General features: G+C 48.1%; 2 protein-coding genes and 1 pseudogene across 7 annotated transcripts in view, besides 2 other annotated features; 1 reads left to right on the forward strand and 2 right to left on the reverse strand.

The window, feature by feature from the left end:
* CA6 (carbonic anhydrase 6) overlaps positions 1–1632 on the forward strand; it is a 29225-nt gene extending 27593 nt beyond the window's left edge. For 3 of the 6 annotated variants that reach the window (NM_001215.4, NM_001270501.2, NM_001270502.2), the window contains one exon: positions 1162–1632. In NM_001215.4, coding sequence (NP_001206.2) covers positions 1162–1244 — 83 coding nt within the window. In that variant the 3' untranslated portion in view covers positions 1245–1632. Of the gene's footprint in view, positions 1–742; positions 829–865; positions 1082–1161 lie in introns of those variants that run through there. The other 3 variants (XM_011542084.4, NM_001270500.2, XM_011542083.4) reach the window with 3 other exon arrangements.
* Positions 6116–6414, reverse strand: RN7SL451P (RNA, 7SL, cytoplasmic 451, pseudogene; annotated as a pseudogene).
* Positions 12690–13191: an enhancer, noted in NCBI's record as "H3K4me1 hESC enhancer chr1:9046209-9046710 (GRCh37/hg19 assembly coordinates)". NCBI's record gives its function as "activates a minimal SCP1, AML or CMV promoter by ChIP-STARR-seq in naive H9 embryonic stem cells {active_cell/tissue: H9 hESC(naive)}" and the evidence as "EXISTENCE:reporter gene assay evidence [ECO:0000049][PMID:30033119]".
* Positions 14997–15497: an enhancer, noted in NCBI's record as "H3K4me1 hESC enhancer chr1:9048516-9049016 (GRCh37/hg19 assembly coordinates)". NCBI's record gives its function as "activates a minimal SCP1, AML or CMV promoter by ChIP-STARR-seq in primed H9 embryonic stem cells {active_cell/tissue: H9 hESC(primed)}" and the evidence as "EXISTENCE:reporter gene assay evidence [ECO:0000049][PMID:30033119]".
* Positions 19074–22519, reverse strand: part of SLC2A7 (solute carrier family 2 member 7) — a 33890-nt gene continuing 30444 nt past the window's right edge. The window contains exon 12 of the mRNA XM_011540824.3: positions 19074–19453. Within this exon, the coding sequence (XP_011539126.1) occupies positions 19220–19453 (234 nt within the window). The 3' untranslated portion in view covers positions 19074–19219. The remainder of the gene's footprint in view (positions 19454–22519) is intronic.

The following is a 22519-nucleotide window of genomic DNA, read 5'->3' on the forward strand; positions in this document are numbered from 1 at the left end:
GCATCTCCTCACGAGGGGGTCAGATGTTCTAGGTACCGGCCCCAGACTGAGGTATTCCATGCTGTGATTTGTCTGTAGGTCCACTAAGAATCGCTGTTTAGGATCGATTACTTCAACTCCCAGTTCAGCATCAGAGGGCTTCCTTACCCCCAGGGAACCCGAATTGTGGCCTCCCTTTGCTGATTATAGAACAGACAACTGGGCATCATCTTGGCCCACCTTCCCTCAGGCCTGGATTTTTCTTTCTCTCTCTTTCTTTCTTTCTTTCTTTCTTTCTTTCTTTCTTTCTTTCTTTCTTTCTTTCTTTCTTTCTTTCTTTCTTTCTTTTCCCTCCCTCCCTCTCTCTCTCTCTCTCTCTCTTTCTTCCTCTCTTTCTTTCTTTTTTTGACAGAGTCTTGCTCTGTTGCCCAGACTGGAGTGCAATGGCGCAATCTTGGCTCACTGCAGCCATGACCTCCAGGGCTCAAGCAGTCCTCCTACCTCGACCTCCCAAGTAGCTGGGAGTAGCATGTACCACCACACCCAGCTAATTTTTGTATTTTTTTGTAGAGACGGGCTTTGGCCATGTGGCCCAGGCTGGTCTCGAACTCCTGAGCTCAAGCAATCCACCCACTTCAGCCTCCCAAAGTGCTGGGATTACAGGCATGAGCCATCGCGCCTGGCCAGGCCCAGATTTCTATGTAGCAGTGATTGGCTGTGGTCAACCCAGCTGCGTGACTCATGGTATTTCACTGTTCTGTAGAGAACTGTATCCCAGCGGGGTTGATATGATTAACCCACCTGCAAGGAGTGAATTGAGAAACCAAGGTCAGTTACAAAAACAAGACGATGGCCAAATACGGACCTCTTGCGATTTATTTACTAGAAAACGCCTATATCCCCTCAGGCAAGGGCCACGGGGGGCATCGTGGGAGAAGCCAAAATCCAAGAGTACAGCCCACCTCAACACGCCACCCCTTGGCTCTGGGCAGCTTAGAAGCCTGAGTTCAAACACAGTGAAGATGACTAAAGGCAATGCACCGGGCACGTGGAGAGCATTCTAAGGAATCAAAAGACTTCCCAAAAATACGATGCGGGTATGGTGTCTGGCCGTCCCCCTTCTCTGTTTTTGTGAGGACTGTACAAGGTTTAACCATTTCCGACTAACTCTTCTTTTTACAGAATACACTCTAGGCTCTGAATTCCAGTTTTACCTACATAAGATTGAGGAAATTCTTGACTACTTAAGAAGAGCATTGAACTGAGGAAAGCTAAGAGGAAGATTCAATATTAACTAGCTTGAAGCCTGACCTAGCCAGAAGTGCCTGTCCGCTGCAGCCGCACCCTACCTTGTCTAAGAAACCATGTGTGTCTGGAACACGCTGCTCCCCCTGGGGCAGCTGTTGGGATTCTGATTAAAAGAGGGGAAACGATCATCCTGGACAGGAAGTGAGATGGCTTCAGTTCATGAGACGGGATCTGAGTTAGACATCACCAGTGGAAATTGATTGGAATAGAAACTTAAAGGAAATGGAACCCTAACTATTCTCCCATCAAATCATATATGTTGACCTGTCTGAATTATAAACCAGCCTGACCTTTCCTTTAGCATTAGATGTAATAAAATAACTTTGGAAATTTGTCATTTAAAAATTTCTTTCCTATTCCTTTGTATTACTTCAAATATCCCTTCTTTGTTCTGCCCGCCCCCGACTCCTCCCCCCACTCCTCCCCCTACTCCCCCACAACCGCACATAGGTGAAGGGATAGAGATCAAAGTGGGAGGGATTTCCAAGACTAAGATTAATAAAAAGGAAGGAGGTGTTTTTTGTTGTTGTTGCTTATTTTTTTGAGATGGAGTCTCACTCTGTTGCCAGGCTGGAGTGCAGTGGCACAATCTTGGCTCACTGCAACCTCCACCTCTTGGGTTCAAGCAATTCTCCTGCCTCAGCCTCCCTGAGTAGCTGGGACTACAGTTGCGCACCACCATGCCCAGCTAATTTTTTGTATTTTTAGTAGAGACGGGGTTTCACCATGTTGCTCAGGATGGTCTCGATCTCTTGACCTTATGATCCGCCCGCCTCGGCCTCCCAAAGTGCTGGGATTACAGGCGTGAGCCACCGCGCCTGGCCTTTTCTTTTCCTTTGAGACAGAGCCTCGCTTTGTTGCTCAGGCTGGAATCCAGTGGTATAATTTTACTGCAACCTCTGCCTTCTGGGTTCAAGCAATTATTCTGCCTCAGCCTCCCAAGTAGTTGGGATTACAGGTGTGCACCACCACGCCCAGCTAATTTTTGTATTTTTAGTAGAGATGGGGTTTTGCCATGTTGGCCAGGCTGGTCTCAAACTCCTGATCTCAGGTGATCCTCCTGCCTCGGCCTCCCAAAGTGTTGGGATTACGGGCGTGAGCCACCACCCCTGGCCTAGGAAGAGATTCTTACACTGAGAATTTGTCAGTGGGGAAGTTTGGAGCAGTGGCTGTGAGTCAAAGAAAAAACAGGAGACGAGAAAGAAGAAGGGCTCCCAGGACAGAAGGAAAGAAGAGAGGGGACCTCACTGCAAACCCCCTTGTTGGTCAAATGGTGCCTGGTCCTTGTTACCAGACCCAGATTCAGGCATCCCATTAGTTATGTGGGATGATAACATGACCTCACAGGGCTCATAGGGCTGTGGCTTCATTAAATAACACTGAGAAGTACCCAGAAGAGTGACCCATATTTTTTTTATCATTAAATAACACTGAGAAGTACCCAGAAGAGTGACCCATATTTTTTATTTTTATTTTTATGTTTTTTGAGACAGGATCTTGCTCTGTGGCCTAGGCTGGAGTGCAGTGGTGATCCTAGCTTCATGGCAGCCTCAACCTCCTGGGCTCAAGTGATCTTCCTACCTTTGGTCTCCCAAGGTGCTGGAATTATAGGCATGAGCCACCACACCTGGCTGCTACCAATTTTCTTGGTCACTTATGCATTCCCTTCATCGATGCCCCTTCCTTCCCATGCCTTAGCTTCCTCCTCACTTCTGATTGAGCTCACCCTGGCTCTTCTGAATTCCTTCTGCTCTTGTTACCTCTGTTGTTTTTCCATGTCATTATTTGTCATATCCTAAGCACTTCCACCACACGTGACTGCCCTCAGCCCCGAAGGCCACCTTCAGTGAACTTGCATTATCCCCAGTTTACAGAAAGCAAACCAAGACGTCGACTTGCCCAAGATCTCCTAGGTGGCAGATGAAAAGCCAGGATTTGAACCCAAGTCTTTTGTATCCACATTCTTTTAACCATAGGAAGCCTCCCTTTCATTTTCTCAACAAGCTTTCTTATGCACTTGCTCTGAGCCTGACATAACACTAGGTGCTGGGGGTTCAGGGATGGGTGAGAACAGCTCCCACACTCCTACAGCTCGGGTCTGGTGAGCAGAGTGGACACTAAAATAAGTAATCGCCATATCGCCCCATGGTGGAGGGAGCGCCTGTGTTTAAAATCCAAGTGCTTGGCCTGGGTTTTGAAGGCTGAGAAAGAGTTCACCTGGGAAACCAAGTCAGAGAGGGGCGGGGGTATTGTAACCCGAGAGTGTGGCATGTGCTGATGGGAAGACACCTGGGGAAGTGGAAGCAATTTGGCGTGGTCAGAGGACCAAGTTCAAGGATGCTGGCACGGAAAGCGGGGGTGTGGCCAGGGCAGGTCAGGCCGTCACTGGTATCTTCTGTGCCACTAAAGGGTTTCGGATTTTACCCTGTAGGTGACGGCAGCGACTGCAGGGTTTCCACAGGGGAACGACACGGTGCGATTCATTCTTTCCACCAGATATGTGTGTCTATAATGAATGAGAGACGCAACAGTGGGCGGTACGGCCAAAGAGCTTACTTACATTCCTGTGGGAAGGCAGACAAGGAAATGAAGATGGAGATGGGATTACACTTGCCTGTCCTCAGGGATCCAGCCCTCCCACCCCTGAAAGTCTATCCTTAAGAGAGGCTTGTGGCCGGGCGCGGTGGCTCACGCCTGTAATCCCAGCACTTTGGGAGGCCGAGGTGGGTGGATCATCAGGTCAGAAGATCGAGGCCATCCTGGCCAACATGGTGAAACCCCATCTCTACTAAAAATACAAAAAAATTAGCTGGGTGTGGCGTGCATCTGTAATCCCAGCTACTCGGGAGACTGAGGCAGGAGAATCGCTTGAACCCAGGAGGCGGAGGTTGCAGTGAGCTGAGATCGTGCCACTGCACTCCAGCCTGGCGACAGAGCAAGACTCCATCTCAAAAAAGAAAGAAAGAAAGAAAGAAAGAAAGAAAGAAAGAAAGAAAGAAAGAAAGAAAGAAAGAAAGAAAGAAACTTGCAAAAAAGCCATTCATGCTGACCTTTTTAACAGCAAAATACAGGAAAAAACACAAACGTCCATCAGTTGGGGATTGGTTGACTAAACCAGGGCTATTCACACAACAGAGAACTGCATAGGGAATAATCTCTAGGCTACATTTGTTTCTTTTTTTTGAGATGGAGTCTCTGTCACCCAGGCTGGAGTGCAGTGGTACGATCTCAGCTCACTGCAACCTCTGCCTCCCAGGCTCGAGTGATTCTTCTGTCTCAGCCTCCTGAGTAGCTGGGATTACAGGTGCATGCCACTAACGCCCTGGCTAATTTTTGTAATTTTAGTAGAGATGGGTTTTGCCATGTCGGCCAGGCTGATCTCGAACTCCTGACCTCAGATCATCTGCCCGCTTTGGCCTCCCAAAGTGCTGGGATTACAGGCATGAGCCACTGCGCTTGGCCTGTAGGCTATGTTTTTAAGCCTGAAAAAAGCAATTTTACAGATGGCACAAGAAGAATTAGAAATATGAATATAGTTAAGTATTTGTTTATGTTTTGAAGCACAAACAGGGAAAAAGAAACCAAAAATAAATTAAAATGGTTTCCTAGGCTAGGCGCGGTGGCTCACGCCTGTAATCCCAGCACTTTGGGAGGCCGAGGGGGGCGGATCACGAGGTCAGGAGATCAAGACCATCCTGGCTAACACAGTGAAACCCCGTCTCTACTAAAAATACAAAAAATTAGGCGGGCGTAGTGGCGGGCATCTGTAGTCCCAGCTACTAGGGAGGCTGAGGCAGGAGAATGGCATGAACCCGGGAGGCGGAGCTTGCAGTGAGCCGAGATCGCGCCACTGCACTCCAGCCTGGGCGAAAGAGCAAGTCTCTGTCTCAAAAAAAAAAAAAAAAAAAAAAAAAAAAAAAAAAAAAACAACAACAACAAAAAAAGGTTTCCTAAAAAGAGAAGGCAGGGGAAGGGTGCTGAGGGTGGCGTGGGAAGGTGGAGTTTTCTGGATGTGCCCTGTTTGGTAGTTTTGACTTTGGAACATCAGGCTTTATGTAATTGCAAAGTAAAATTAAGTAAGTAAGGAAAAAAGCATTCCTGAAACATAAAACGCGAGTTACGTTTCAACATAAAAATATAGCAGAACAATTGAACAATTATACATAGGGCCGGTGGCATGAACACTGAAGGATTTTTTCATGTTATTTTAGACACGGTATTTTTCATCTACATACCTGCTGCAGTATATCCTAAGGACAAGAAGAAGTACCAAGGAATCTTAAACAGTACTTAGGAATCCTCTTAAAAATTATATTGGTATTGTTATTTTGAAATTGTGTGTGTGTGCAATTACTATCCTCTACTACTATATGTGCACAAATAATTATGTTAATGTCCTCACTAACAAGATTTTCAGCATAAAAAACAGAGATCCAAATTGAAAAATTAGGCTGGGCTTCATGGCTGACACCTTTAATCACAGCACTTTGGGAGGCTGAGGTGGGAGGATCACTGGAGCCCAGGAGTTCAAGACCAGCCTAGGTAACACCGCAAGACCTCATCTCTACAAAAAATAAAATTTAGCCAGGCATGGTGGTCCATGCCTGTGGTCCCAGCTACTCAGGAGGCTGAGGTGGGAGGATTGCTTGAGCCAGGGAGGTGAAGGCTGCCGTGAGCCGTGGTTGTATCACTGCACTCTAGCCTGGGTGACAAAGCAAGACCCTGTCTCAAAAAAAAAAAAAAAAATTAACAAAGCTAGATAAAAACTCTGTAATCATAAATTTAGAAATATCAATATAAATTTATAAATTCTTTTTTTTTTTTTTTTAGGGACAGGATCTTGTTATGTTGCCCAGGCTGGAGTGCAGTGGCTATTCACAGGCATGATCCCATTACCGATCAGCACAGGAGTTTTGACCTGATCCATTTCTGACCTGGGCTGATTCACCCCTCCTTAGGCAACCTGGTTGTCCCCTGCTCCAGGGAGGTCACCATACTGATGTCAGACTTAGTGTGGACACCTGATTGGCACAGTGCACTGCAGCCCAGAACTCCTAGGCTTAAGCTATCCTCCTGCCTCAGCCTTCCAGCTACCTGGGACTACAGGCACGCACCACTGCACTTGGCAATAAATTCTTTTTCTCTTTCTAAAAACATGTATTTCCTAGGTCTGTTCACTGAAACGTCTTACCAACAAAAACAACCTACAAGCAATTAACACCTTATAACCAGATAATGGCTCCCCTTTTTTTTTTTTGAGATGGACTTTTGCTCTGTTGCCCAGGCTGGAGTGCAGTGGCACGATCTCAGCTCACTGCAATCTCCACCTCTTGGGTTCAAGTGATTTCTCCTGCCTCACCCTTCCAAGTAGCTGGGGTCACAGGCGCGCGCCACCACACCCGGCTAATTTTTGTATTTTTAGTATAGACGGGGTTTCACCATGTTGGTAAGGCTGGTCTTGAACTCCTGACCTCAAATCATCCACCTGCCTCGGCCTCCCAAAGTGCTGGGATTGCAGGCGTAAGCCACTGTGCCCGGCCCAGATAGTGGCTTCTAAATATCATTTTTCACTATGAGGAATCAGGGAACCTTGGAGAAATGACTGATTCCAGATGCGGAACAAGAATATAGAAGATGGGCTGGGCACAGTGGCTCACTCCTGTAATCCCAGCACTTTGGGAGGCAGGGTTGGGAGGATCATTTAAGGCCAGGAGTTTGAGATCAGCCTGTGCAACAGAGCAAGACTCCTGTCTATTAAAAAAAAAAAAAGAATATTTAAGAAGAACCTGGGATATCTTTTTAGGCCAGAAAACAAGAAATTTAACTAAGTACTGGATTTATGTCAAAAAGACACTGGGGCCATCTTGAAGGGGCTCCTGGGTCAACTTAAGCATTCAAAAGAACAATATCATAAAAAGAATCATAACTGCAATGGATTGAAAATTGAAACACTGAATATATAGAAATATATGAGTTCATTATGGTCCTAAAAATAAGTGAAAGAAAACGCACTGGTCTTCTTTGGAGGTTGCTAGGGAAACCATTTATTTTTCTGTAAATTGGCAAATAGAAAGAAAGGGTCAAATATATGTCCCGCCTTCCCTGTGCACACTGCAGCTGAGAGATCCTATGGTTGGTTGCATCAGTTTCCTGAGGCTGCTGTAATAAATAACCACAAACGACATGGTTTAAAATATCAGAAATTTATTTTCTCACAGTTCTGGACACCAGAAATTTGAGATCAGGGTGTTGGCAGGACCAAGCTGCCCTCAAAGATGCTGGGGGGCTTCTTCCTTGCCTCTTCCAGCTTCCAGCGGTCACGGGCATTCCTTGGCTTGTGGCTGCATCACTCCGTCTCTGCTTCCATCCTCACATGGTCTTCCCTTTTTCTCTGTGTCTTTGTCCGTCTGCTTTTCTCTTATAAGGTCATTTGTCATTGGACTTAAGGTCCATTTGAATAATCCAGAACTTCATCTCAAAATTCTTTACTTGATTATATCTGCAAAGATCCTTTTCTTTTCTTTCTTTTTTCCTTCCTTCCTTCCTCCTTTGCCCTTCCCTTTCTGTCCCTCCCTCCCTTCTTTCTTCCTTTCCTTTCCTCTCCTTTCCCTTTCTTTCTCCTTCTTTCTTCCTTCTCTTCCCTTCCCTTCCCTTCCCTTTCCCCTTCCCCTTCCCCTTCTCCTTCCTTCCTTCCTTCCCTCCCTCCTTCCTCCTGCTTTCTCAGTTCGTTTTCTTTCTTTCAAGATGGGGTCTCCCTCTGTTGCCCAGGCTGGAGTACAGTGACACAAGCGTAGCTCACTGCATCCTCAACCTCTCAACCTCCCAGGCTCAAGTGATCCTCCCGAATCAGCCTCCCAAATGGCTGGGACTACAGGCACGCTCAACCACACCCAGCTAATTAAAACAATTTTTTTTATAGTGACAGAGTTTCACCTTATTGCCCAGGCTGGTCTGGAACTCCTGAGCTCAAGCAATTTGCCCTCCTTGGCCTCCCAAGAGCTGGGAGTACAGGCATGAGCCACCCCCCCCAGCCCCCTTTTTCCAAATAAGGTCACATTCACAGGTTCTGGGGGGACATTCTTTTGGGGTGGCCACTGTTCTACCCTATAGAGTTGGTGAGAATGAGTTCTTCTTGGAGGAATTACAGTTAGTATATTCAGAAGGAGTCATTTTGCAGCCTCAATGAAATGATGGACCCCGGTAATGATCATGATTGGTTTCCAACACCATTAGATGGGAGATTGATGGGATCTTTACACTATATTGCATTCTATTCTATTCTATCCTATCCTATTCTGTGGATCAGGCCGACAACCTTTGGAAACACTGAGCAGTGTTAACATCACTGAACACGAAATAAGAGTACACACTGTGCTTCTGGAAACTCAGGCCACAGAAGAATGTGTAATTCGCCATGAAGAAGTAAGCCCCATGAGGAAGATGGGATTTTTGTTTTCTTTTTCACGACAAACTCCAACCACCTGAAAAGACTATCTGGTATGTAAGATGCTCAGTGAAAATGTACTGAATGAATGAATTAGCATTCATATAAAGAAATGCTAAAAATCAATAAGAAAACAACTAACAACCCAACAGAAAAATCATAAGGAGGGGGGAACTGACAATTTACAGGAGGAGAAATAGGAATGATCAATAGTAATTAAGGCAATGAAAATGAAAACCGCAATGAGATATCAATTCACAGCCTCGGATTGGCAAAAACTTTAAGGTCTGATGCTACCAAGTGCAACTGAGGATGTGAAGCAATCTTCATCCAGGGCTGGGAGCGTGAACAGGTGCAACCGCTCTAAAAGCAGTTTGGTAAGACCTCATAAAGTCGAACAGGGGCATCTCCTAGGACCCAGAAATTCCACTTCTAGGTATTTACTTTACAGAGACTTGCATGAATGCATAAGAAACAAACATGCTCATCGCAGCATTACTTATAATGGAAAAATATAGGAAACAACCTAAAAGTTTGTCAATAGGTGAATGTAAAATAATGATGTTTTAGAGATCATATCATGCAGTGGTAAAGACAAATGAACTAGAAAATGAAAATTAGAAATATGAGCATGAGGCTGGGCACGGTGGTTCACGCCTGTAATCCCAGCACCAAAGTGGGAGGCCGAGGCGGGTGGATCATGAGGTCAAGAGATCGAGACCATCCTGGCCAACATGGTGATACCCCGTCTCTACTAAAAATACAAAAATTAGCTGGGCGTGGTGCCACGTGCCTGTAGTCCCAGCCACTCAGGAGCCTGAGGCAGGAGAATCACCTGAACCCGGGAGGCGGAGGTTGCAGTGAGCCGAGATCGTGCCACTGCACTCCAGCCTGGTGACAGTGCAAGACTCCGTCTCAAAAAAAAAAAAAAAAAAAAAAAAAGAAATATGAGCATGATAGAAATGTACAAACATGGCCAGGCATGGTAGCTCATGCCTGTAATCCCAGTATTTTGGGAGGCCAAGCTGGGCCGATCTCTTGAGCTCATGAGTTCGAGATCAGCCTGGGCAACATGGAGAAACCCTACCTCTACAAAAAATACAAAAATTAGCTAGGCATGGTGGAGTACGCCTGTAGTCCCAGCTACTCAGGAGGCTGAGGTGGGAGGACAGCTTGAGCTGGGAGGCAGAGGTTGCTGTGAGCCAAAATCGCACCACACTGCACTCCAACCTCGGCAATAAAGCCAGACCTTGCCTCAGAAAACAAAATGACAAAACAAAAAACAAAAAAAGTTACAAACATGTTGAGCAACAAAAGCAAGTCCAGGAAAAAATAGCGTAGTATTTATAAAAAGTTGAATAACAAAATAATGATGTACATACACAGTTAGGTGCCAAATCACAATGTTTTAGTCAGTGATGGGTAGTGTAGTCGACGGTGGGCCCAGAAGATGGTGACACTGTATTTTCACTGTGCCTTTTCCATGTTTAGATACGTTTAGATACAGTAATACTTAGCATTGTGTTACAGCTGCTTACAGCCTTCAGTAGAGTAACATGCTGTGAAGCTTTGTAACCCAGGAGCAGTTACACTGCTCCACAGTGTGGCCACACCACAGAGCCTAGTGTGGGTAGGCTATGCCATGTGGGTCTGTGCAAGTACACCCTACGGTGTTCACACAATGACTCATGACACGTTTCTTGGCACATATCCCTATTGTTTACTGACACATGACTGTATAATGTCAAGGAGACACAACACATAGTAAAGGTAATTAATAAGAAAAACACCGAGCAGGGGCAAGTGGCTCACGCCTGTAATCCCAGCACTTTGGGAGGCCAAGGTGGGAGGATCACTTCAGCCCGGGAGTTCAAGACCAGCCTGGGCAACTTGGTGAGACTCTGTACCAAAAATACAAAAATTAGCTGGCTGTGGTGGCAGGCACCTGTAGTCCCAGCTACTTGGGAGACTGAGGTAGGAGAATCACTTGAGCCTGGAAGGTTGAGGCTGCAGTGAGCCGAGATCACACTTCTGCCTGGGCTACATAGTGAGACCCAGTCTCCAAAAAAGAAAGAAAGAGAGGGAGGGGGAGGGAGAGAGAGAGAGAGAAAGAAGGAAGGAAGGAGAAAGAAAGAAAAAGAAAGAAAGAGAGGGAGGGAGGGGGGAGAGAGAAGGAAGGAAGGAGAAAGAAAGAAAAAGAAAGGAAGGAAGAAAAGAAAGAAAAAAGAGAAAGAAAAGGAAGGAAGGAGAAAGAAAGAGAGAAAGCAAGCAAGCAAGAAAAGAAAGACATGAAATTAAGTGTAGTGGTGATATCAATTATGAGGAGGGATGGAAGAGAACTCAGTCTTTAACGACTTACTGCAGAAGGTGGGTGGTGATACATGGGTATTTATTACTCTTTATTACCTTTATTACTATTTATCCCTTTAAAATAAAAATCTGATTACATCATTTTCCTACTTCAAAACTTCCGGTGTTTCTCATGACACTTTTTTAAAAAATTAATCTTTTATTCAATGTTATAGGTAGTATTAAAAAGTGTGCTATAATCTCTCTTTTTTTTTTTTTCTGAGACAGTCTCACTCTGTTGCCCAGGCTGGAGTGCAGTGGCGTGATCTTGGCCCATTGCAACTTCCACCTCCCAGGTTCAAGCAATTCTTGTGTGTCAGCCTCCCGAGTAGCTGGGATTCCAGGCATGCACCACCACGCCTGGCTAATTTTTGTATTTTTAGTAGAGACGGGGTTTCACCACGTTGGCCAGGCTGGTCTCGAACTCCTGACCTCAGGTGATCCACCTGCCTCGGCCTCCCAAAGTGCTGGGATTAGAGGCGTGAGCCACCACACTTGGCCCCCATTACACCTTGAAGGAATTCCGAAGCCCTAGCTGTGGTCTGCCTCCCTGGCCCTGGCCGCTTTCTGGGCATCATCTGTCTCTGCCCTCCCTTTTCTCACCGAGCTCTGGTTGCAGCGTTCCTCAGAGACACCAAATGTGTTCCGGCCACAGGGCCTTTGCACATGCCGTTCTCTGCACTGAACATGGGGCATGGATCTCTCCTCCTCCTTGTTGTGCTTCTTTACTCACCTCACAAAGGCCACCAGGCCATCTTCTGTTTTACCCCAGGGATGACAATGAGCTTGAGAGGATGGCTTCTTTGCCCTTGTGCCCTGAGCTGTGAGCCCAGAGCTCAGCCAACTGCTCCCACTGTGCTCCTATTCAGGGAGGGCTCGCCTATGGAAGCGGCTGCACAGTGGCTCTAGAAAGAATATGTCCTGTAGGAGGGAAGGGCTGCCCTCTGGGTGGAATCATGGTGGTCTCCAGAAATCTCCTCCACTGGATTCCTGGGCTGGAGGAGCCACGTGCTCCCTGCAGCCACCTAGGGCCACCGGGAGATTCTGGTCTGAGGCAGGAGTGCAGCTGCAAATGCAGAAAGCAAGGCTGGGGTGTCTGGGATGAAGCAGGCCGGAACTGGGCTCAGCACCGAGCTAGCTCTTGGGATGTTTTATTTACCAGGGTCATTCACATTTATGTTGTCCTTCAAAAGATCCTGAAAGTTCTTGGGCATGGTGGCTCATGCCTGTAATCCTAGCACTTTAGGAGGCCATGACAGGAGGACTGCTTGAGCCCAGGAGTTCAAGACCACCTTGGGCAACATAACAAGACCTTGTCTTTACAATAATGAACATAAAAATAAATTTAAATAAACATTCCTGAAAATTCCCATGGATCTCAGCCTGTCTTGAGTCTCTCAGCAACACCATGAGCGGGGAACTCTGATTGCCAAGGTACAGGTAGAGAAACTGGGGCCCAGCTTTCATTAGCAACAGAGCCAGGATTTGAACTCAGGTCTCAGACTCTAAGCCAGTCATCTTTCCATCATTCTATGACTCTTCCCTTTGCGATGAAGGAGGGGGACCCAGGCAATACTCCCATATGACTAATGGATCCAGAAAAATCATTACTTTCAGAACCTACAAAAAAACTTTGAGGACAAAAAGCGTGGGTTTCTGAAGCACCTTCAGCCCTGAGCAATCCCAGCACTTTGGGAGCAGTGAGCAAGCTGTCATTTTCCCTGCGCTTCTCGCAGACCTGGAAGCACAATTGTTCCAACAGTGACAGTTTACAGGGTGTTCATTGGCACTCACTGTGGTTCTCACGGAGGAATGGCAGGCTTGGCGCTCAGCCTGGGAGAGTCTGCTTTCTGGAAAGGCAAATAGGAGCCAGGAAGCTGCTGGTTGGACTGAATCATGCAATGAGAATTTCCTGGGGCTGGGCATGGTGGCTCACGCTCGTAATCCCAGCACTTTGGGAGGCCGAGGCAGTAGGACCGCTTGAGCCCAGGAGTTTGAGACCAGCCTGGGCAACATAGCAAGACCCTGTCTCTACAAAAAATAAACAATTAGCTGGGCATGGTGCTGCACACCTGTGGTCCCAGCTACTCCGGAGGCTGGGGTGGGAGAATCGCTTGAGCCCTGGAGGCAGAGGTTGCAGTGAGCTGAGATTGCACCACTGCACTCCAGCCTGGGCAACAGAGCAAGACCCTGCCACAGACAAACAAACAAAGAGTTTCCTGAGGCCCTACTGTGGCAGACACCCCTCCTGCAGGTCAGGGTTGGGCGGGAGGCAGGTGGTCCCTGTTGCTGCCATGTGAGTCCCTCCAGGTGTGCCTGCTGGGGGTGGGTCCCACCTTGGGCAGCAAAAAGGGTGAGTCAAGGGGGACGAGCAGGTATCTCCCAGATGCAGAGGTTCAAACAGGATCGGAGAGAGGTCGGGAGGCCAGGGCAGGTGGAGCAACAGGAAGTGAGCGAAGGGCTGTTTTTTTTTTTTTTTTTGAGGTAGGATCTCACTCTGCCTCCCTCGCTGGGGTGCAGTGGTGTGATCACAGCTCACTGCCGCCCCGACCTCCTGTGCTCAAGCAATCCCCCTGCCTCAGCCTCCCGAGCAGCTGGGACCACAGGTGCACAACACCACGCTTGGCTAATTTTTGTATTTTTCGTAAAGACAGGATCTTGCTATGTTGCCCAAGCTGGTCTGGAACTCCTGGGCTCAAGGATTCCTCCCACCTCGGCCTCCCAAAGTGCTGGGATTATAGGCATGAGCCACCATGCCTGGACCTGAATTTTGTTTAAAAACTAAAACTAAGGAGCTGGGCATGGTGGCTCACCCCTGTAACCACAGCACTTTGGGAGGCTGAGGTGGGCGGATAACGTTAGGTCAGGAGTTTGAGACCAGACTGGCCAACACGGTGAAGCCCCATCTCCACTAAAAATACAAGAATCAGCTGGGCGTGGTAGCGCGTGCCTCTAATCCCAGCTACATGGGAGGCTGAGGCAGGAGAATTGCTTGAACCCGGGAGGTGGAGGCTGCAGTGAGCTGAGATCGCCCCACTGTACTCCAGCCTGGGTGACAGAGCGAGACTCTGACTCAAAAAACAAACAAACAAACAACAACAACAACAAAACTAAAACTAAAAAAAAAATCCAAGAAGAAATAAAAGGCCTTCCAGTGCTATTACTTTTGGGCTAACATTCACTTTATAAACTACATTGTTGAGGCCAATTTTGTTTTCTACAAACCTCCTAGAAGCTGGAGAGCACGCGTGGGCCCCCAGCCACAACGGGGCATCCTCTCCCAGGGACAGCAGAAAGAATCGTGTTCTTTAAACAGCCACAAAACCACGTTGTCAGTGGGAAGGAAGTCACTGAGCAACTGCTCCCGAGGGGCAGAAGCTGGGAAGACCCTAGTGGGGCCTGGGATCTTGATGTTCTAATATTGGTTCCTGTAAATTCATGTTGCTCAGTACAAGTTTTGAGAAACAAAACATCCTTCCTTAGACACAGCCCGTTAGCTGTTACATGGTGCTGGCCGTGGGTGTTCCTCTCACCAGTGCCAGAAATTCTCTGAAAGACCTTCTGTGTTGGTGTCATTTTGTAAACAAAAACAAAAAAACCCCCAAAACCTAAAGCAAGGAAGGTTCTTGAACAGATTGGAGGGGTCAAGCAGAACCAGCAGCCCCGACAGAGGAGGTGCTGCCCTCCAGTGGCGTCTGTGAGGACAGCAGGGGCTGTGCCCAGGAGACCTCAGAAATCATCCAGTCCACCCCCTCCCATTTTTAATATTGGTAAACTGAGGTACAGAAGATCTATAGAGGTCTCCAGGTAAGTTAATAGCATATCAAGGACAAAGGGCAGATTGCGTGTCCCTGCACTGTTCCAGTGGGATGTGGGGGGCTCTGGACATGGGGATGTTGGTCCCTGTTTCCTCTATGCACTGCTTAAGGAATTTCCAAGCACCCTCACACCTGAATAATGGGGGTCCCCCACCCCACCCACAGCTGAAGGGACGGTGGGCCAGCAGTCACTCAGGTGCCCCCTCTCAGGCCTCAGTAAGTGATATCTGAATGCCAAGGCCGTGCAGAGGGGACCACGATTGGCACCTGGTCACCCTAAAACTCACACAAGTGTATGCTGGGGAGCAGGTGCTAAGCCCTTCGCAGGAAAGCCGCTGTCCAGGGAGAAGGATGCAGGGCTGGAGAGAAGCAGAGGAGGACCTCTGGGCTTCCGAGGGGGGTCAGCGTGGCGGGGGTGGTGAACGATGACCTGCTGACAACCGCCGGACCGGGCTGTACTTCCTGCCCTTGACTTACACAGAAATTCCCTGCAGGCCTCGGTTGCATTTCTGCTCTTCACAAATACACCGTTCCCAACTAAGACAGCACGCCTTTGATTTTGTTGGAGCCTCAGGGACAGGCTTTGCTATCTCCACGTCCTGACAATGACGCTGGGACAAGACAGTATACCCTGACACAGCCTCTCAGTGGGATGCTGGGACCCAGCTCCAATTCCTGTGCTCTCATCGAGCCCTTGGACCCCTGGAGCTGGCCTATGGGACACGTCAGCAAGAGGTGGAGGGCGGGGTGCATTTTCCAGGTGGCTCCAAGCAGTCTCAGCTCCACCAAGGCAGGACCCAGGGCTGAGTTTGAGGGTGTCAGGACCCCAGCATCTTCCAAACATGGGGCGAATGCCCCCACAGTCTCTGTGTCAGAGCTTCCCACCCTACCCTGACAGCATAATGAGCTCCTGTGGGTGGAGGCTGACAGAGGCCCCGGACGCACCGGGCTCAGGGGTGCTGCTCATGCATTGACCTCTCTTTGAGAGGGGCCCTGAGAGACGCCTGCTTGTGTACGTCTTAGAGGCAAAGATCCAGATGGTCGGGCACGGTGGCTCACACCTGTAATCCTTGGGAGGCCAAGGCAGGTGGATCGCCTGAGCTCAGGAGTTTGAGACCAGCCTGGCCAACATGGTGAAACCCTGTCTCTACTAAAATACAAAAATTAGCTGGGCGTGGTGGCAGGTGCCTATAATCCCAGCTACTCAGGAGGCCGAGGCAGGAGAATCACTTTCACCTTGGAGGCTGAGGTTGCAGTAAGCTATCACACCACTACACTCCAGCCTGGGTGACAGAACAAGACTCTGTCTCCAAAAAACAGGAAAAATCCTTTTTGGCTTATAAGCTTCTCTTTGAAAATAAAAACACTACAGGGAAAGTTAATTGATGAAGCATTATCACTTAATTAAATCAGTGTGAATTAAACAACAGATAGCAAGTAGTTTCATTGTGATGCCTTTCTTTTGGGTTTCAGATGGTGGATTTGATAAGGAGGAAAGGAGTATTAGAGGCAGCTGACTGAGGGAGGCCTGAGGCTGTTGGTTGAGTCACTGTTTCATCTGGGGTAGGCCGGGACTTCCATGTGAAACTAAGTGTTTGCAGAGCCCAGTGGGCTGTGTGGCTGCATCTGAGAACTGCTGGGAGCTGTGGATTTGCTGGGGAATCAGCCCAGCTGTCCCCGGGAGGTTGGTGGGGGCGGAGGAGGGACACAGAGGAGTGTCCCTCCATGTAGGCAATGACATGGGATGTCAAGGTCAGCCAGCTCAGGGACTGTGTGCTCCCTGGGGAGAGGAAGGGCTGGCTCTGGGACCTCTGGGCTCCCTGGGGAGAGGCAGGACTGGCTCTGCGACCTCTGGGAGCCTGAGTGCAATGGTCAACGTGTGGGCCCCCCATCACAGGAAGAGGGAGCCATACTGGGGATTTCTAAGTACCAGCAAGGGTCTCCAGGGCTCTGTAGGCAATTTTTTTTTTTCTTTTTTTTTTGAGACAGAGTTTGGCTCTGTCACCCAGGCTGGGGTACAATGGCACGATCTTGGCTCATTGCAACCTCCGCCTCCCAGGCTCAATCACTTCAGCCTCCAGAGTAGCCGGGACTACAGGCACAGCCCAGGCACCATGCCCAGCTAATTTTTGTATTTTTTGTAGAGACAGGGTTTCACCATGTTACCCAGGCTGGTCTCGAACTCCTGACCTCAAGTTGATCCTCCTGCCTCAGCCTCCCAAAGTGTTGGGATGACAGGCGTAAGCCACGATGCCCAGCCTGTAGGCACTATTAATAAAATAAAAATAGAATGTAAAACCTCAAATCATGGATATAAAAATTAAGCAAAGTTAATCAATATAGCAAAAGAAAAGAAAAATTCAAAAATAGCAAGAACATATAAGAAACAAAGCATACAATAAGATGCAGAAGAACAAACATCAATTGTAAGACATAAGAATGGATTAAACTCTGCTATTCAAGGGCAAATATTCTCAGATGGGATCAAAGAATAAAAAACTAAGACATAGCTAAAACATAAGACAAGCTGGGTGTGGTGGCTCATGCCTGTAATCCCAGCACTTTAGGAGGCTGAGGCAGGAGGATCTGTTGAGGCCAGTAGTTTAAGACCAGCCTGGGCAACATAGTGAGACCCTGTCTCTACAAAAAATGGTAGTGTGTGCCTGTAATCCCAGCTACTCAGGAGGCTGAGGCAGGAGGATGGCTTGAGCATAGGAGTTGGAGGCTGCAGTGAGTCATGACTGCACCACTCCACTCCAGCCTGGGTGGCAGAGTGAGACCCAGTCTCCAAAACAACTACTACAACAATACAAAGCAAAAATAAAAAAGATAAGACAACAGAGAGGTTAATGCAAATGCAACTGTCGCCCAGGCTAGAGTGCAGTGGCACGATCTCAGCTCACTGCAACCTCCACCTCCTGGGTTCAACCAATTCTCCTGCTCAGCCTCCCGAGTAGCTGGAACTACAGGTGCACGCTACCATGTCTGGCTAATTTTTGTATTTTTAGTAGAGAAGGGGTTTCACCATGTTGGCCATGCTGGCCTTGAACTCCTGACCTCAAGTGATCCACTCGCTTCGGCCTCCCAAGGTGCTGGGATTACAGGCGTGAGCCCCTGTGTCCAGCCAACATAAACATTAATGCAGAACCCAAGGCTAAGAGCATTAAAGACAGGTTGAAAGAGCAGAAGTAGCACCTTTGGGATGTGGAGATTTGATCAAATTGGCATTTCAATGGCGCTGAGGATGCCAAGAACACCCAAATCCTAACCTGGGACACCCTTTTCTCCCAGATCTCTGTGAGACACAGCGGCTGCTCTTCGTCCTCCCCAGTTCTCAGTCCATGTGTTTTGAGTGGGATGTGTCAGCGTGCTACAACCTGTTGGCTACAAGGATTGTTTTCCGGGATAGATGTGATCAAGGAGCCCAATCAGGTCCCACCCCAGAATGTGGGGGGACTCAACCACAACATGTACAAAACTAAATGCCTGGTTTCCCCAAAAAGCCTGGTACTTTCCTTGTGACCCCAGATTCAGTAAGTGTTACCACCACCCATCCGATGAAGGATGTAAAAACCAGCAAACATTTGTAACCTCTCCCTCCCCATCACCCACTCTCCAGTCCATTATTGAGCCCCATTGATCTCACTTCCTAAACGTCTCTCAATTGTAGTCTCAACAATCTCTAGTGACCTCCATTTTTCCACTATCCCTCTGTAGTCAAGCCACCAGTATCTCTTCCCTGGTCTATGGAAGTGGCCTGCTAACTCGTCTCCTTACTTCCACACTTGCTTCTCTCTACATTTGTCTATTCCAGCCCATTATCCAAGCTGGGGTCACAGCCATTTTTTTTTTTTTGAGGCAGGTCTTGCCCTGTTGCCCAGGCTAATGTGCAGTGGCATGAACTGCACTCAACCTCCTGGGCTCAGACAATCCTCCCACTTTAGCCTCCTGGGTAGCTGGGACTACAGGCACATGCCACCACACCCAACTAATTTTAATATATTTTTTTGTAGAGATGGGGGTCTTGCTATGTTGCCCAGGCTAGTCTCAAACTCCTGGGCTCAAGCAATCCTCCTGCCTTGGCCTCTGAAAGTGCAGGGATTATAGGCATGAGTCACAGCACCTGGCCTGCTCTTTCTTTCTTTCTTTTTCTTTCTTTCTTTCTTCCTTTTCTCTTTCTTTCTTTCTTTTTTGTGCTCATTAACCATCCCCACCTTCCTGCTGCTTTGTTCTCTAATGAACTATTTTATTCAAGACCTTTGTTTTCAGAGACAGAAAATCCAGAACACACAAGTTTTAGCAACACAGGGAACCCATTGTTTCACCTACCAGAAGAATCCAGGGGAGGCCTGGCTTCCAGTATAGCCGGAGCCCAGGATCCAGAGTGTGGCATCAGAAGTGTGGTCATCCTGTCTCGGCTTTGCACATCCTGTCTGTGGGCCTTGCCCTCAGGTGACCAATCCCCTGAGTGGGTCTCAGAAGCTCCAGGATTCCAGCCTTGCAGCCCAGCCACCCAGGAGGACTGGCATAGAGATGCCCTCCCTGAAGTGGGACCCTGAAGAGAGTACCGTGGGTAAAAGATTAGGAAAGAAGCCCACCTAATAAAGGGAGATGGCAAGGAAACCTGACATCAGGTTGCAGATCTGGGTAAAGGATGCTGCTGATAAAGACATACCTGAGACTGGGCAATTTACAAAAGAAAGAGGTTTAATTTGACTCACAGTTCCATGTGGCTGGGGAAGCCCCACAATCATGGCGGAAGGCAAGGAGGAGCAAGGCACGTCTTACACGGATGTCAGCAGGCAAAGAGAGAGAGCTTGTGCAGAGGAACTCCTCTTTTGAAAACCATCAGGTCTCATGAGACGTATTCACTATTATGAGACTAGCTTAGGAAAGACCTGCCTCCATGATTCAATTACCTCCACCAGGTCCCTCCCACAACGTGTGGGAATTCAAGATGAGATGTGGGTGGGGACACAGCCTAAACATATCAGGGGAGAAAGGTAGCCTTTGAGCATTTGTAAGCACCAGCTTGTCCTTCCCTGGCTTTAGGGTTTGAATCCACATGGCTGCAATTTAAAAAGGGCATAAAAACAAACAAACAAACCCTAAACTAAAACCTCAGTGGCACCTCCTGGTGTCTGACAGAAGCAATCACAGAAACATTTCGGGCCACTGTAGATATTTGAATATGGTGGGGCTATTAGATGATATTAAGGAATTATTTTAAATTTTGGTATGTGAAATAAAAGTATTCTATAAAAACATGACTTTATTTATTTATTTAGATACAGAGTCTCGCTCTGTCGCTCAGGCTGGAATGCAGTGGCACGATCTTGGCTCACTCTAACCTCCGCCTCCCAGGTTCAAGCGATTCGCCTGCCTCAGCCTCCTGAGTAGCTGGGACTACAGGTGTGCGTCACCATGCCCGGCTACTTTTTTTTTATTTTATTAGAGACAGGGTTTCACCATGTTGGCCAGGATGGTCTCAATCTTCTGATCTTGTGATCCACCTGCCTTGGCCTCCCAAAGTACTGGGATTACAGGCATGAGCCACAGCGCCTGGCCACCCAGAGAATGTTCTCTTTATTCAAGGGTACAACTTATGGCAAATTAATTGTTGACCAAGTTATCTGCAAGAAGAGGTCCTATGACTCCTGCATTAATAGATACTGAATTTTCAATCAGCACTATTTTTTTCTATGCCTGAAAATGGAATTGCTCTGGTTTTTTGAGTGACTTTTCACTAGAGGGCCTTCCAGTTACTCCTGTAAGCTGCCTAACCTGGCACACCACGCCCAAGTGTAACCGTGAATCCAAATGAGTGGGCTGACCTAAGGGAATGCCACCAGGCCTCATCCTGAGCCCAGGCTCACGCTTTGCCCTCCTGGGAACCTTGGCCTGTGCATCTTTCCTTATCTGTGGAGTCACGTCTTTGGAGCACCTGGGCTTAGGAAGAATGATTAGTGAATCTGTGTAAGCCAAGCAAAGTTCAAAGACCTGCCCAGTCTTCATTTCCAAACAATCTCGTATCTATGAGACAGTGGCCGGCAGCGTGACTCAGCCTGACCCCAGCCTCAGTAACAAACTCTGGCAAAGACACGCGGGGAGAGGCTGCAGCGCTTAGAACTTGGAGCCATGGTCACCTGACCCCGGAATGAAACCCGATAAACAAGCATTTACTGAACACCCACTGGAAGTGCTTACAAGGCACTAAGCTAAGCACCATCAAGAACCTTGATCTCAAAGGCTGCACCACCTCTGTGGCAGGTGACGGAAGGGAATGCTTTTCCCATGCAACTGCCTAGGAAAGAAATCCCAGAGACATTTAGGGACTGGTTTAAGGTCATGATGACTGTGGCCAAGCGGAGACTAGACTTCAGATCTCCTGATTTTCTTTTCTTTTTTTTTCTTTGTTTTGTTTTGTTTTGAGATGGAGTCTTGCTCCATCGCCCAGGCTGGAGTTCAGTAGCACAATCTCGGCTCACTGCAGCTTCTGCCTCCTGGGTTCAAGCGATTTTCCCACCTCAGCCTCCCAAGTAGCTGGGATTACAGGGGCTCAACACCACGCCCAGCTATTTTTTACATTTTTAGTAGAGATGGGGTTTCACCATGTTGCCCAGGCTGGTCTCGAACTCCTGACCTCAGGTGATTCACCTGCCTCAGCCTCCCAAAGTGCTGGGATTACACGTGTGAGCCACCACGCCTGGCCAGATCTCCTGATTATTTTCAAGGTCACACGTCTCCCCACCAGGTGCACAAACGCCAAAAGACAGTGTGGCTTACTAGCATATATTTTAAAAATATTGGCCAGGTGTGGTGGCTCACACCTGTAATCCCAGCACTTTGGGAGGCCGTCGCGGGTGGATCACGAGATCAGGAGATCGAGATCATCCTGGCTAACACCGTGAAACCCCGTCTCTACTAAAAACACAAAAAATTAGCCAGGCATGGTGGCGGGCGCCTGTAGTCCCAGCTACTTGGGAGGCTGAGGAAGGAGAATGGTGTGAACCCGGGAGGCGGAACTTGCAGTGAACTGAGATCGCGCCACTGCACTCCAGCCTGGGCGACAGAGCGAGACTCTGCCTCAAAAAAGAAAAAAAAATGGCCAGGCACGGTGGCCTACTCCTGTAATCCCAGCACTTTGGGATGCCAAGGTGGGCAGATCACAAGGTCAGGAGTTCGAGACCAGCCTGGCCAACATGGTGAAACCTTGTCTCTACTAAAAATACAAAAATTAGCCAGGCACGGTGGCAGGTGCCTGTAATCCCAGCTACTCGGGAGGCTGAGGCAGGAGAATCGCTTGAAACCAGAAGGCGGAGGTTGCAGTGAGCTGAGATTGTGCCACTGCACTCCAGCATGGGCAAAAAGAGTGAAAGTCTGTCTCAAAAAAAATTTTTTTATTTAATTAATTAATTTATTTTTTAGACACACAGTCTTGCTTTGTGGCCCAGGCTGGAGTGCAGGGGTGTGATCATAGCTCACTGCTGCCTCAAATTCCTGAGATCAAGGGATCCTTCAGCCTCAGCCTCCCAAGTAGCTGGGACTACAGGCACGTGCTATGACACTCTCCCAATTTTTAGATTATTTGCAGAGACAAGGTCTCAACATCTCAGCCAGG

The sequence above is a fragment of the Homo sapiens genome, chromosome 1 (genome assembly GCF_000001405.40).
Source record: "Homo sapiens chromosome 1, GRCh38.p14 Primary Assembly".
Classification (NCBI taxonomy): Eukaryota; Metazoa; Chordata; class Mammalia; order Primates; family Hominidae; genus Homo; species Homo sapiens.